The following is a 13,549-nucleotide window of genomic DNA, read 5'->3' as shown; positions in this document are numbered from 1 at the left end:
ATTCCTACAGCTGGATGGATTGTTCCATATGAGGATTCTCTCACTGCAATAATAGCTTTCACTCCAGGGAGGAAGCTGTATTCCCTTCATGCTGTTGCTGGTATTTTTAGACTGTTAAACTCTTCAGTTGCTGAAGGGTATCCATTTACCACATATTTATTAGGCTACCATATGGGTAGTCAGTGAAGGGTGAAGGGCATTGACTGTTGGTATCCTGAGTGTCTGAGACGCCTTTAATCCAAAGATCTCAAAGTACTCCACCAACTAGAAATCACTCCCCAACCCTGGAGCTTCTTTAGAATGTACAAAATACTGGCCCAGTTGTCAGTCATTAGGTAAATTTTCAGACTTTTTTTTTTTTGAGACAGAGTCTCACTTTGTCACCCAGGCTAGAGTGTAGTGGCACGATCGTGGCTTACTGCAGTCTCGATCTCCCAGCTCAGGCCATCCTCCCACCTCAGCCTCTCAAGTAGCTGAGACTACAGGCATGCATCACCACGCCCTGCTAATTTTTTTATTTTTATTTTTTGAGACGGAGTCTTGCTCTGTTGCCCAGGCTGAGTGTAGTGGCGTGATCTTGGCTCACTGCAACCTCTGCTTCCGGGGTTCAAGTGATTCTCCTGCCTCAGCCTCCCGAGTAGCTGGAATTACAGGTGCGCACCACTATGCCTGGCTAATTTTTGTATTTTTGGTAGAGACAGAGTTTCACCATGTTGGCCAAGCTGGTCTCGAACTCCTGACCTCAGATGATCCTCCTGCCTTGGCCTTCCAAAGTGCTGGGATTACAAATGTGAGCCACCGTGCCCAGCCCCCCCACTTTTTTTTTAAGGCTTCTAGAGACTGTTATTCTTTGGGAGGATTCCCAAGGAATGAGATGTAACCATTCCCAACTTATAAAACCAGCCATACTGTTTACTTCTTGAGGTTGGTTAGTGATGTTTGTGCAGATATCCACATTGAAAATGAAATTGGTCATTTTTTCAGAATGGCAAAAATCTAACCTTGAACTGTGAATACTTTGACAGGGTTGATTCTGGTAATGGCTGGCAACTGCCATGGAAACCACGTAACTCATCTCCTGCAGGTGTCACTTTCAGATGTTAGATTACACCCAGAGTTGCATCCTTCGGCCCAGATCATCTGCAGTTTGGTTTTTGTCTGCAGTCCTTTACATTATTTATATTTTACTTTTCCCTGTCTCTGACATCGGTTTTATAGTATATGAGAAAGTCAGCCTGTATTAAAAGCAGTAATATGGTCAAGATCATGAAAAACTAGCAAAGGTTTAGAACTGTCACAGAGCAGAGAAGACTAAGGACACCTCGTGTCTAAATGCAACGTGGAATCTTGGATTGGATCCTGGAACAGAAAAAGGATGTTCGTAGAAAATCTAGTGAAATCTGAACCCTAGGTTTAATTAGTAGAAATGTATTAATGTTGGTTTCTGAGATTTGAGAGCTCTTCCATGGTTATAAAAGGTGCTAACATTGGGGGAACCTGGGTGCAGGCTATACTAGAAATTTCTGTACTGTTGTTGTAGCGTTTCCAAATCATTTTCTAAAATTATCCCAGAAGAAAAAGTTTACTAGCTAGAACCAGATGACACTTTTCAAATGATGTCGCTTAACCCTCCTCATTTTATAGCAGGGAAACTGAAGCTTAGAAAGGTGACTTGCCTGAGGTCTCCCAGGAGGTTTGAGGTCCTGTCTGTCCTCCTTCCATTATGCCACCTAGCTTTTGGATATCTCCTCATTCCTTTCATCAATAAAGTCAGTCTTCTTGGTGGTTGTTTTTTTGTTGTAGAGATGGGGTCTCACTATGTTGCCCGGGTTGGTCTGGAACTCCTGGGCTGAGTCGGTTTTCTTTTCCTTTTTTTTTTTTTTTTTTTTTTTTGAGATGGAGTTTCGCTCTTTCACCCAGGCTGGAGTGAAGTGGCACGATCTCCGTTCACGGCAACCTCTGCCTCCTAGGTTCAAGCAATTCTCCTGCCTCAGCCTCCCGAGTAGCTGGAATTATGGGCGCCCGCCACCATGCCCAGCAAAATTTTGTATTTTTAGTAGAGACAGGGTTTTGCCATGTTGGCCAGGCTGGTCTCAAACACCTGACCTCAGGTGAGCCCCTGCACCTGGCCGCTCAGTCAGTTTTCTGGTTAGCATAGGGATAGACCTAGTTGGTGAATGCTCCAGTGAACAGCAGTTGTATGGATTCATGAGCTGCATGTGATACACTCTGTCCATGAGAAACATTGAAAATGTCTGGTATTTATCAACTGTCATGCAGCTTTGGATGCTGTGTTCCCAGATGCCTCTGTCTGTAAGGGTTGCTGATAAGGAGAAGAGCGGCTCACAGCTGGCTTAGTCCTGTTCCCCTCTCTGGCATCATGTATTCTGTTTAAAGGAAGATATAAATAATCAAGGCTGGCAGAGGCCTGTGGGAGCTGAGAATGAAGTGCCCTGCCCTGCTAAGTGTCTTCACCGCTCCAGAAAGGCTGGCCATTTTGGCTTTGCTGTTAGCTCTGATTATGTACCAACTATTTGCAAAATTTGTGTAAAATATGACTAAAAATGGAATGATCTGCCACCTTTGGATTATTTGCGTTCGTAATTCATCACAGAATGTAACAGAGAGAAAGTAATTTTCAGCTGTTAGTTCAGTCTTCAAAGATGAAACAGCTAAAATTCCTGAAAATGAATCTTTTCCTGCTGCAGCCTTTGTGAAGCTTCACACTTTCCAGGCTTTGTTTTCTTTTTTCTCCTACAGGGTTTGAGTCCAGGATTTTAATTCTCAGCAGCTAGCAAACCTGTTTCTGAAAAAAATAGTAGTGTATGGGCATATTCATGGGCCTGCTTATGTCACTGATTAAAGTTATGGCGAATCAAACTTTCATTAAAATCTGCATTTTTTAAAACTAATATCCTGTTGAATAGAACACTCAATTATAAAATTTCTATCCAGGCCGGGTGCAGTGGCTCACACCTGTAATCCCAACACTTTGGGAAGTCAAGGCAGGTGGATCACTTGAGGTCAGGAGTTCAAGACCAGCCTGGCCAACATGGTGAAATGTCATCTCTACTAAAGATAAAAAAACTGGCTGGGTATGGTGGCACAAGCCTGTAATCCCAGCTACTCGGGAGGCTGAGGCAGGAGAATTGCTTGAACCCTGGAAGCGGAAGTTGCAGTGAGCTGAGATCGCATCGCTGCACTCCAGTCTAGGTGACAAAGCAAGACTCTGTCTCAAAAAAATAAAATATTAAAATAAAATAAAATATCGCTGGGCGCAGTGGCTCACGCCACTTTGGGAGGCCAAGACAGGCAGATCACGAGGTCAGGAGAACAAGACCATCCTGGCTAATACTGTGAAACCCAGTCTGTACTAAAAATACAAAAAAATTAGCCGGGCGTGGTGGCGGATGCCTGTAGTCCCAGCTACTCGGGAGACTGAGGCAGAAGAATGGCATGAACCCATGAGGCGGAGCTTGCAGTGAGCTGAGATTGCACCATTGCACTCCAGCCTGGATGACAGAGTGAGACTCCATCTCAAAAAAAAAAAAATGGCCAGGCGCAGTGGCTCACGCCTCTAATTCCAGCACTTTGGGAGGCCAAGGCAGGCGGATCATGAGGTCAGGAGATCAAGACCATCCTGGCTAATACGGTGAAACCCCGTCTCTACTAAAAAAAATTAGCCGGGCGTGGTGGCAGATGCCTGTAGTCCCAGCTACTCAGGAGGCTAAGGCAGGAGAATGGTGTGAACCCGGGAGGCGGAGCTTGCAGTGAGCCGAGATCGCACCACTACACTCCAGCCTGGGCAACAGAGCGAGACTCTGTCTCAAATAAATAAATTGAGCAAGACTCTGTCTCAAATAAATAAATAAATCAAATCAAGTCAAATCAAATCTCTTTATCCAGATTGGAACATCCTGCATCCTCTGAGCTATGTAGAGGAACTGTCTGCATTCAGACAGCCTCACACTTAGACCTCCTTGTCCTTGGGATGGTCACCATCCACTGAGTCCAGAGAAACTGTGGCTCCACAGTCAGGTCCACTGAATTGGGCTGTAAAGTCATGAATAATTTTTAAAGTATTTTAAAGCATATTTTCTGGATCTTCAAACTTAATGGAATAGTTGATTACCTACATTTCCCTGAAGCTCTTTCATTTTTATTTTCTTTCGATGCAGGGAGGGGCTGACATGAGATTGAGAAGATAATGGAAACTTTGAAAAATTGTACCTTGCTTTTGTCTATGTCAGGATGGGTGGTATTGGCAAGTGAGAGTGCTGTAGATAGGTGACGCACCCTCGATGATTTTAAGCCTGGGCAGCGGGAACGCATCTTGTTCACGAAATAGAACCCAGAATGCCCTTGCGAGGTCACAGAGCAATCACTGTCATGCCACTTAGGACCTTTAGTTTGTTCTTGGATGATTTTAACAATCTTTTTATTTTAAAGCTTCCTTAAAAAGAACCACTTCCCCCTTTTTAGTAATTATTGATTTATATTGGGTTATTAGAGAAGAAAATGTTTTCAATATTTTTAATGTTTAAAGTAGTGGACGAGTTCCTAGGATTTTTTGGATGCGTTTTTGTATTTTTTTTTATTTGTTGAAAAATAAAATCAAGTTGCACAAAGCCTGTAATATCTTATTTATATTGAATGTGTGTATGTGTGTGTGCACGTGCATATGCGCACATACGTAGGTACATAAGCATGCATAGAGAATTTTTAGGAAGAGATACAAAAAAAATTGAGTGTGAGCCTGTGAGATGAGTGTGAGCCCATGAGAAGAGGGAATATGGGTAAGGGGAATCGCATACTTTTTATTTCCTATCCTTCTGTTCTATTGATTTTTTGCTATAAGCTTGTATTTTAAAAAATAATCTGGGCGGGCGGATCACGAGGTCAGGAGAGCAAGACCATCCTGGCTAACATGGTGAAACCCCGTCTCTACTAAAAAATACAAAAAAAAAATTAACCAGGCGTGGTGCCGCACACCTGTTGTCCCAGCTACTTGGGAGGCTGAAGCAGGAGAATGGTGTGAACCAGGGAGGCGGAGCTTGCAGTGAGCTGAGATCGCACCACCGCACTCCAGCCTGGGCGACAAAGCAAGACTCCGTCTCAAAAAAAAAAAAAAATTATTTTTTGAAACGTGAAATTTCCAAGGAAACTTTTTCTCACATCACACCTTTTTAGATAGTCTGTGAGCAGCAACTCAAGACTCCCCTGTGTTTCTCCCATGGATGGGCAGAATCTGCTTTCGTATACCCCTGCCCCCTCCCCCATCCATCTGATAACTTTGGTCGTGATAGAAAAAGAGTAACCACTGTTTCTGTCCTGTTCCCACACTGTGTGTTTCTCACCGGTGCACACAATTTCACACCATAAACAGGACCCTTAGAAATCGTGCAGTGCGGTTGCCTCTTTCACGGTGGCCTTTCCACTTCTTTGAAATGTCAACTAGATGGTCTTCCTTTCATGACGAGCTAAGAAGGGCTGAACTGGAATTGAAATGCCTTCTTTTCTTTTCTTTTCTTTTCTTTTCTTTTCTTTTCTTTTCTTTTCTTTTCTTTTCTTTTCTAAGACAGAGTTTCTTGCTCATGTTGCCCAGGCTGGAGTGCAATGGCGTGATCTTGGCTCACTGCAAACTCCGCCTGCCGGGTTCAAGTGATTCTTCTGCCTCAACCTCCCAAGTAGCTGGGATTACAGGCACCTGCCACCACGCCCAGCTAATGTTTTGTATTTTTAGTAGAGACAGGGTTTCACCATGTTGGCCAGGCTGATCTCAAACTCCTGACCTCAGGTGATCCACCCGCCTCGGCCTCCCAAAGTGCTGGGATTACAGGTGTGAGTCACTGCGCTAGGCCTCGAATACCTTATTTTCCTTTTTCTTTTTCTTTTTTTTTTTAAGAGAGAGTCTTGCTCTGTTACCCAGGTTGGAGTGCAGTGGCATGATCTCAGCTCACTGCAACCTTCACCTCCTGGGTTCAAGCAATTTTCCTGCCTCAGCCTCCCAAGTAGCTGGGATTACAGGCACCTGCCACCACATCTGACTAATTTTTGTATTTTTAGTAGAGATGGTGTTTCGCCATGTTGGCCAGGTTGGTCTTGAACTCCTGACCTGAGGTGATCCCCTCACCTCTGCCTCCCAAAGTGCTGGGATTACAGGCGTGAGCCACCGCGCCAGGCCGGAATACCTTATTTTCTCAGACTCGACATTACTCTGCGTCCCCGAGTTTAATGAGGTCTGCTGTGTGGTACCTGAGTATTGTTACGCCAGCCTATAACTGACAGCCCACATTCTAAGGTTCATATACTGTTATAAGAAGAAGAGTCCCATGATTCTGAAAACACTCAGACCCACCAGACATGGTGGCTCGTGCCTGCAATCCCAGCACTTTGGGAGGCTGATGTGGGAGGATCCTTTGAGGCCAAGAGTTTGAGGCCAACCTGGGCAATATAGCAAGACCCCGTTTCTACAACAACAGAATAAAAACACCTAGACCCGACAGCTCGAGATCCTTGGTCCAAGAAGCTCAAAAGGAGTCTCTAGCGATTGTCTCAGACCACTAGGGAGAGCCAGCTTGCCTTCGTCTTGATATTTAACATTTGTTATCTGAGATTCATTAGGAAATTTACACTATGAAATTTAAGGTAGGCCGGCGCAGTGGCTCAAGCCTGTAATCCCAGCACTTCCGGAGGCCGAGGTGGGTGGATCACGAGGTCAGGAGATTGAGACCATCCTGGGTAACATGGTGAAACCCTGTCTCTACTAAAAATACAAAAAAAAATTAGCCAGGGGTGGTGGCGGGCGCCTGTAGTCCCAGCTACTCAGGAGGCTGAGGCAGGAGAATGGTGTTAACCCAGGAGGCGGAGCTTGCAGTGAGCTGAGATAATGCACGGCACTTCAGCTTGGGCGACAGAGCGAGACTCCGTCTCAAAAAAGAAAAAAAAGAAAGAAATTCATAAGGTGACATTTTCCTTGTAAGATTTCTGCAGCCTCAGAGATAAGTTGCTAAAATAAAGAATGTTTAAGTCACTCTGGAGAGCTGAGTGAAAACTCATTTCAACCTTGGGAAGGGCCAGGAGGGCAGTGAGCTCTCCCTCACCCAGGCCTGAGCCATCGGATGGTGGAACTCATGGTTTGGGGTCCTTCCTGAGGAAAGGCTGTGGCCGGACCCCAGGCAGCATGCACACACCAAAATCAATGGCTGCAGCTCTTTGTGTACGTTTCCCTTACCTCCTGGGTCCTCAACTGTCTTCCCATCTTGATTCTGTGCATAGGTTGTGGAAAGGAGGAGAACCCCTGCTGAAATTCGAGAGGAGTTTGAGCGGCTGCAGAGAGAGAGAGAAGAGAGGAGATTGCAGCAGCGAACCAATCCCAAGGTAAGCCAGGGGCCACGTTTCATGAGGACACTTCATGAAAAGGCCTCATAACTAGAAGCCAGGTCTGAAATAATGAGGTGCTGGTGGATTGTTAAAGTAAAAACATACAAGCTGGTGGGACAAAATTTAGCTTATATTATGTCAAAGTTGTATCTTTCTGGAAAACACCTCCCTGGTAGCCATCAGCCACACTGCTGCTCATCTCCAGGAGGTTTTGTACCATGTGGAGGGAAGACAAAACCAGTCCCCTGTTTTTTCCAGAAGTCTGGGAGTTTCGCCAAGCAGATATACAGGCTAGTCACTGAAGGCTGTTTCCTCCAACTGTGCTGCCCAAGTCCTTGACACTGGAAATCAGAGGACAGAGGCAGGCAGGGCAGAGGACAGCCACCTAACCACCTAAGCATTGAGGCAGCAGAAGTCCTTGCTTACCCGTTAGGATACGGAGAGCCAAATAATGCAGAGGGCTCAGGGCATGTCCACATGGCCTTGAGCAGAAGTCCCTGCTCACATCACCCCAGGGCATTGGTGCCGTGACCACCGGTCACTGGGTTGTTTGAGCAGCATCGGTGTCCCAGATCACCGATGGAGTTTAAGTCCTTTAAATACTGAGTCAGAGTTACTTTTCAATGCTAAGTGTGCTCTCTTTTTCCTTTCAGTTTGCTGGGGAGGTTGTTCTGCACGTGTGCCCCAGCTCTGTGGCAAGTAGGATAGCTTGGTCACTTTGAGATTCCAGTTGCACTGAATGGCTAATGAAACATGGCCCGGTGTACTGTTCAGCTGTGTTTAAAAAGAGGGCTCAATGGCCAGACCCTATCACTGTGGCCAGGATGGCCTGGCAGAGAGCCTGTATCTGTCATGATAAGGAGCTGGGAGCTCCCCGGTCTTCCATCAGCCTCTTCTCCCATGATCTGTGTCAAATCATCAACGTTGTTGGAAGGAGAGCAGAAGCCATACAAAGTTATAAGTAGCATTATTATTTTCTTTAAACCTTGTAAAGGAATAGAATAGGCCGGGTGCGGTGGCTCACTCCTATAATCCCAGCACTTTGGGAGGCAGAGGCGGGCAGATCACCTGAGGTCAGGAGTTCGAGACCAGCCTGGGCAATATGGTGAAACCCCATCTCTACTAAAAATACAAAAAAATTAGCCAGGCATGGTGGTGCATGGCCACCAGCCTCCCGAGTAATTTCAGCTACTTGGGAGGCTGAGACAGGAGAATAGCTTGAACCAGGGAGGTGGAGGTTGTGGTGAGCCAAGATCATGCCACTGCATTCCAGCCTGGACAACAGAGTGAGACTCCATCTCAAAAAAAAAAAAAAAAAAAGAAAAGAAAGAAAAAAAACAAATGCTGGCTTAAACTGGGATGCACAGTAAGATAAACCTCTGATGAAATACATTCCGGAAAGCAGTTTATTTAAGACCCATACAGCATTTAAAGGACCATATATCCAGAACATGTCCATCTCTTTGAATCCCACATTTCAAAGTATATCTGACCAGATAAAATTATGGATGGGAATGAAGCTTGTGTATCACTCATTATCATGTGTAATCAATAAATGATTTAATTCTCTTGGGAAAAAAGTGTATATTTGAAAATGGTAACACCTCTGCTCCCATCTACTCACTCTCCCCCTCAACAGAAGTGCAGGGTTACCTTTTGGTCAGATGGAGGTAGAGAATCAAAACCCTGGGTGAACCGAGCCAGGGAGTTTAGGATAATTGGGAGAGTTGAAAATCTCCGAGGTGCCCTGAGCTGTGCTCATGGTTCCTGCTTGGATCTCCCAGCCAGGTGCCCGGAGGGAGGTCTGGCTTGGAAGGTCGGTATTGGCAGATGGAGGTGGGATGGGGGAGGTGGGGGTGCCTGGCAAGAGCAGGCTGTTCCTTTGGTGTTTTTGATGTTCTGGCTGGAGGTTTGCTGTGTTAGGAGCAGTGAAAGGGAAAGAGAACCTCACTATCATCCTGCATCCGTGTCCCATGATCAAATCGGCCATCTGGGGGTGTGTGGCAGTTGCTTATTGGGACTCTATGCAAATGTGTCTGCAGGCCATGTTTCTGTGGAATGAGGGAGCACAGCTGTGACCATCTCACACAGGCATGCAAGTGATTTTTAAAATGTCCTATACTTTGCTACTTCCATAAAACTGCTTCCAAATACATAAAACATTTTCTAATCAGAAATATTGAGTGATAACCAGATGTTGGCTGTCCAGCATTTTAAGGAGAGGATTTGAGGTATATCTTTCTTTCCATTTCTGAGGGGTTTTTTTGCCTTTCAAGATGAGCAAACATCCTTGTCCTGAGAAGAAAGGGGTGATCTCTGCTTTAAGGAGACCATGGAGGATGGGCGTGGTGGTGCATGCCTGTAATCCCAGCACTTTGGGAGGCCAAGGCAGGAGGATTGCTTGAGTTCAGGAGTTTGAGACCAGCCTGTGCAATATAACAAGACCCCCATCTCTACAAAATATTTACAAATTAGCTGAGCACAGTGGCACATACCTGTAGTCCAGGCTACTTGGGAGGCAGACGAAGGAGGGTTGCCCGAGCCCAGGAGTTCAAGGTTGCAGTGAGCCGTGATTGCACCACTGCACTCCAGCTGGGCAACAGAGCAAGGTCCTGTCTTAAACAAAAACAGAAGGACACTTTTGATGACTTAGAGGTCAACCTGTCAGCTGGACCCCCCACAGAGGACCTCAGCTCAGAGGGGTTTGCAGGCTGTATCCCGTGCGTGATATTGCCGCCTGAAACGCGGGTGCATATTTCTCTCTGTTTTCGTCAATAAGAGCAGATTAGGTAGGGATTTCCAGTAGATTGATGTATCTACCAAGCAAAAAGGCCTAGTGAGGAAAAGCCCAGGTTAGAAGGTACAGCTGCCAGCAGGAGGCAGGACACAGAGTGAGCCGTTTGACAGTGCTCCCTTTTCTCTTCTGTAAAATGAGGACGTCTGTCCTGACTACTGTGCCAAGTTGTGAAAAGACTGAAAACACATGAAATAGATGTTAATTTATTAGGGAAAGATAATCTTGCTATATAAATGCAAAGTGGTACTGGTACCAAAATGACGTTCAGAACTAAATGTGGTGGTGGTGTTTCATTCAACACTGAGGAGGAAATTCTTGGCTTGGTCAGGAATGGTGGGACCTGTGAGTTGGGATTTGTAAATGGCCCTTGAGGCCGGGCGCAGTGGCTCACGCTTGTAATCCCAGCACTTTGGGAGGCCGAGGCAGGTGGATTACGAGGTCAGGAGATCGAGACCATCCTGGCTAACACGGTGAAACCCTGTCTCTACTAAAAATACAAAAATTAGCCGGGTGTGGTGGCAGGCGCCTGTAGTCCCAGCTACTCAGGAGGCTGAAGTAGGAGAATGGCGTGAACCCAGGAGGCAGAGCTTGCAGTGAGCTGAGATCGCACCACTGCACTCCAGCCTGGGCCACAGAGTGAGACTCTGTCTCAAAAAAAAAAAAAAAAGAAAGAAAATGGCCTTCGAACCATTCTTGCAGCCTTTGCCTGGGGCCAGGCCCGGTGCTGTTTGCAGTATGGCTGACTGTGATATGGACTAGTGTGGAATGTGCCTTACCAGGCACCATGGTGCCCAGGAAGGAACGTGTAAAATCCCCAGCCCCGGCGTGTGTCCACTTTGCCTGCTGGCTCCAGCTGATGAAACACGTGCATGCACACACACACACACATGCAGGAACACAGGCACATCCATGGGAGGCAGCATGGGAGAGCCTTGGACTTGGTGTCCAGGGCCCTGCGTCCAGACTCAGATTCCACCTTCCTGTCTGTGCCCTTGATCAAGTCCCTTCTGCATTCTTAGTCCAGTTTCTGCCTCCATGAAATGGGAGGCCCGCTTTCTGGGTTGAGTCTTTGGACCCCACAGTCCTTAGCTCTAATCACCTGTTTTCTGCCTTTGCTTTGCCCTGTGGGAGTAAATTCCTGTCTGTATGTCCTGCTGGAAAAAGCCACCCTTGGGTTGCTGGGGTCCCAGTGTCTTTAGGGCCCTCCACATTGAACTGGCGTCAGGGAGAGAATTGGTGGCTGGGCAGGACGTGGGTTCATACCTGAGAGCAGTATGCGAAACTAGACCTGACTGGACCACCCTGGGCATCCTCCTGCCATCTTCGGATTTCTGTTTTATTTGCATAATCCATCCGCATTTCTTGCATTTTAAGGACTTAAGATCATGTAACAGTGTCGTTCTGTGTTGTATTCACTTCGTATTGATTATTTTAATTCCTTTTTTCCTTAATACCCATAAATCTTCTCCCTCTGTGGAGGGCAGCCACTTTGAGCATATTTAGAAGGCAACTTGATCCCAGGCAGCTTGTCCGACTTCATTGCTGCCTCCTTCGTGATCTTGTTTAGATCCTGTGTGGAGCAGATGATTAAGTTAGGTTTGTTTGGGGGTGTGGGGGCAAAGGAGTTTGACTGTCTCTGCGGGCATATATTGCTTTAGTTTTTTTGACCCTATGACAAAATAGTTTGATGGAGATTTACATTATTTCCTGGCCATTTTTGCTATTACAGAGGTTGATATACACTCTTTGGCAAGACCTCTCTGATCTAGAAAACTCCATCATCAGCATGGTTTGTGTAATAGCTGAGAGACACAATTCAGCTTTATTAGAAAAAAATGTAAATGATGTATCGGCCAGGCATGGGGGCTCACACCTGTAATCCCAATATGTCCAGAGTTCATTCCTTTTGGTGGGTTCATGGTCTCACTGACTTCAACAATGAAGCCATGGACCTTCGCGGTGAGTGTTACCTTAAAGGTGGTGCGGACCCAGAGTGAGCAGCAGCAAGATTTATTGTGGAGAGCAAAATAACAAAGCTTCCACAGTGTGGAAGGGGACCCGAGCAGGTTGTTGCTGGCTGGGGTGGCCAGCTTTTATTCCCTTATTTGTCCCTGCCTATGTCCTGCTGATTGGTCCATTTTACAGAGTGCCGGTTGGTCCATTTACAGAGTGCTGATTAGTGCACTTACAATACTCTAGCTAGCCACAGAGCACTAATTGGTGCTTTTTACAGCGAGCTGATTGGTGCATTTACAATCCTCTAGCTAGCCACAGAGCACTGATTGGTGCGTTTTTACAGAGTGCTGATTGGTACATTTACAACCCTCTAGCGACAGAGCGCTGATTGGTGCGTTTTTACAGAGTGCTGATTGGTAACATTTGTAAGACAGAAAAGTTCTCCAAGTCCCCACCTGACCCAGGAAGTCCAGCTGGCTTCACCTCTCACCAACACTTTGGGAGGCTGAGGTGGGTGGATCATCTGAGGTCAGGAGTTTGAGACCAGCCTGACCAACATGGTGAAACCCCATCTCTACTAAAAATACAAAAATTAGCCAGGCGTGGTGGCAGGCGCCTGTAATCCAAGCTGCTTGGGAGGCTGAAGCAGGAGAATCACTTGAACCTGGGAGGCGGGGGTTGCAGTGAGCCGAGATCGCGCCACTGCACTCCAGCCTGAGCAACAAGCTCAAGACTCCGTTTCTAAATAAATAAATAAAAATAATGTAGCAAGAGCCTGGGCAACATGGTGAAATCCTATCTCTACAAAAAAAAAAAACAAAAAACAAAAAACAATTAACTGGGCATGGTGGCGTGCTCCTGTAGTCCCAGCTACTCGGGAGGCTGAGGCAGGAGGAATGCTTGAGCCCTGGAGGTGGAGGTTGCAGTAAGCCAGGATCGTGCCAGCCTGGCTCCAGCCTTCAAGATGTACTCCAGCCTGGGTGACAGAGAGAGACCCCATCTGAATAACGTATCAAGGAAGGCATGTAACCATAAAAATATTTTTAAATGCCAAAATGTTTTCATAAAGATGTAAGCGTGCATCACTTGATTATTTTTAAAGGATGTTGGGGTTGCCCTGGCTAATAACCGTAGCCAGCAAAGTCGCCCATGGTTATGACTTCAGTCTGTTCTGCAGAAGTGATTCTGATGTCATGAAACTGCCTGGACTTGGCTGAGAGGATGATGGGGCAGAAGAAGGGTTGTTTAAGCCATATGTTTGTTGTGCGTAGTGGCAGGAAGGGGCAATTTACCGTCTGCAGAAATGGGCTGCTGTTGCAATTGGAGAACGTGAGAAGTTGTCTTGTAAGGAGAAAAGGGACCAGAGCCTGGTTAATCAGGTCTGGGAAAGCACTGTGATAATGAAACTGAAAC

At 46.3% G+C, this 13,549-nt stretch overlaps 1 protein-coding gene across 2 annotated transcripts in view; it reads left to right on the top strand.

The window, feature by feature from the left end:
- DNAJC11 (DnaJ heat shock protein family (Hsp40) member C11) overlaps positions 1–13,549 on the top strand; it is a 67,647-nt gene that overhangs the window by 26,728 nt on the left and 27,370 nt on the right. For both annotated transcript variants that reach the window (NM_018198.4, XM_047424842.1), the window contains one exon: positions 7,279–7,380. In NM_018198.4, coding sequence (NP_060668.2) covers positions 7,279–7,380 — 102 coding nt within the window. The remainder of the gene's footprint in view (positions 1–7,278; positions 7,381–13,549) is intronic.

Source organism: Homo sapiens, chromosome 1, assembly GCF_000001405.40.
Source record: "Homo sapiens chromosome 1, GRCh38.p14 Primary Assembly".
In the NCBI taxonomy this organism is placed as follows: Eukaryota; Metazoa; Chordata; class Mammalia; order Primates; family Hominidae; genus Homo; species Homo sapiens.
This window is presented reverse-complemented; position numbering and strand designations above follow the sequence as displayed.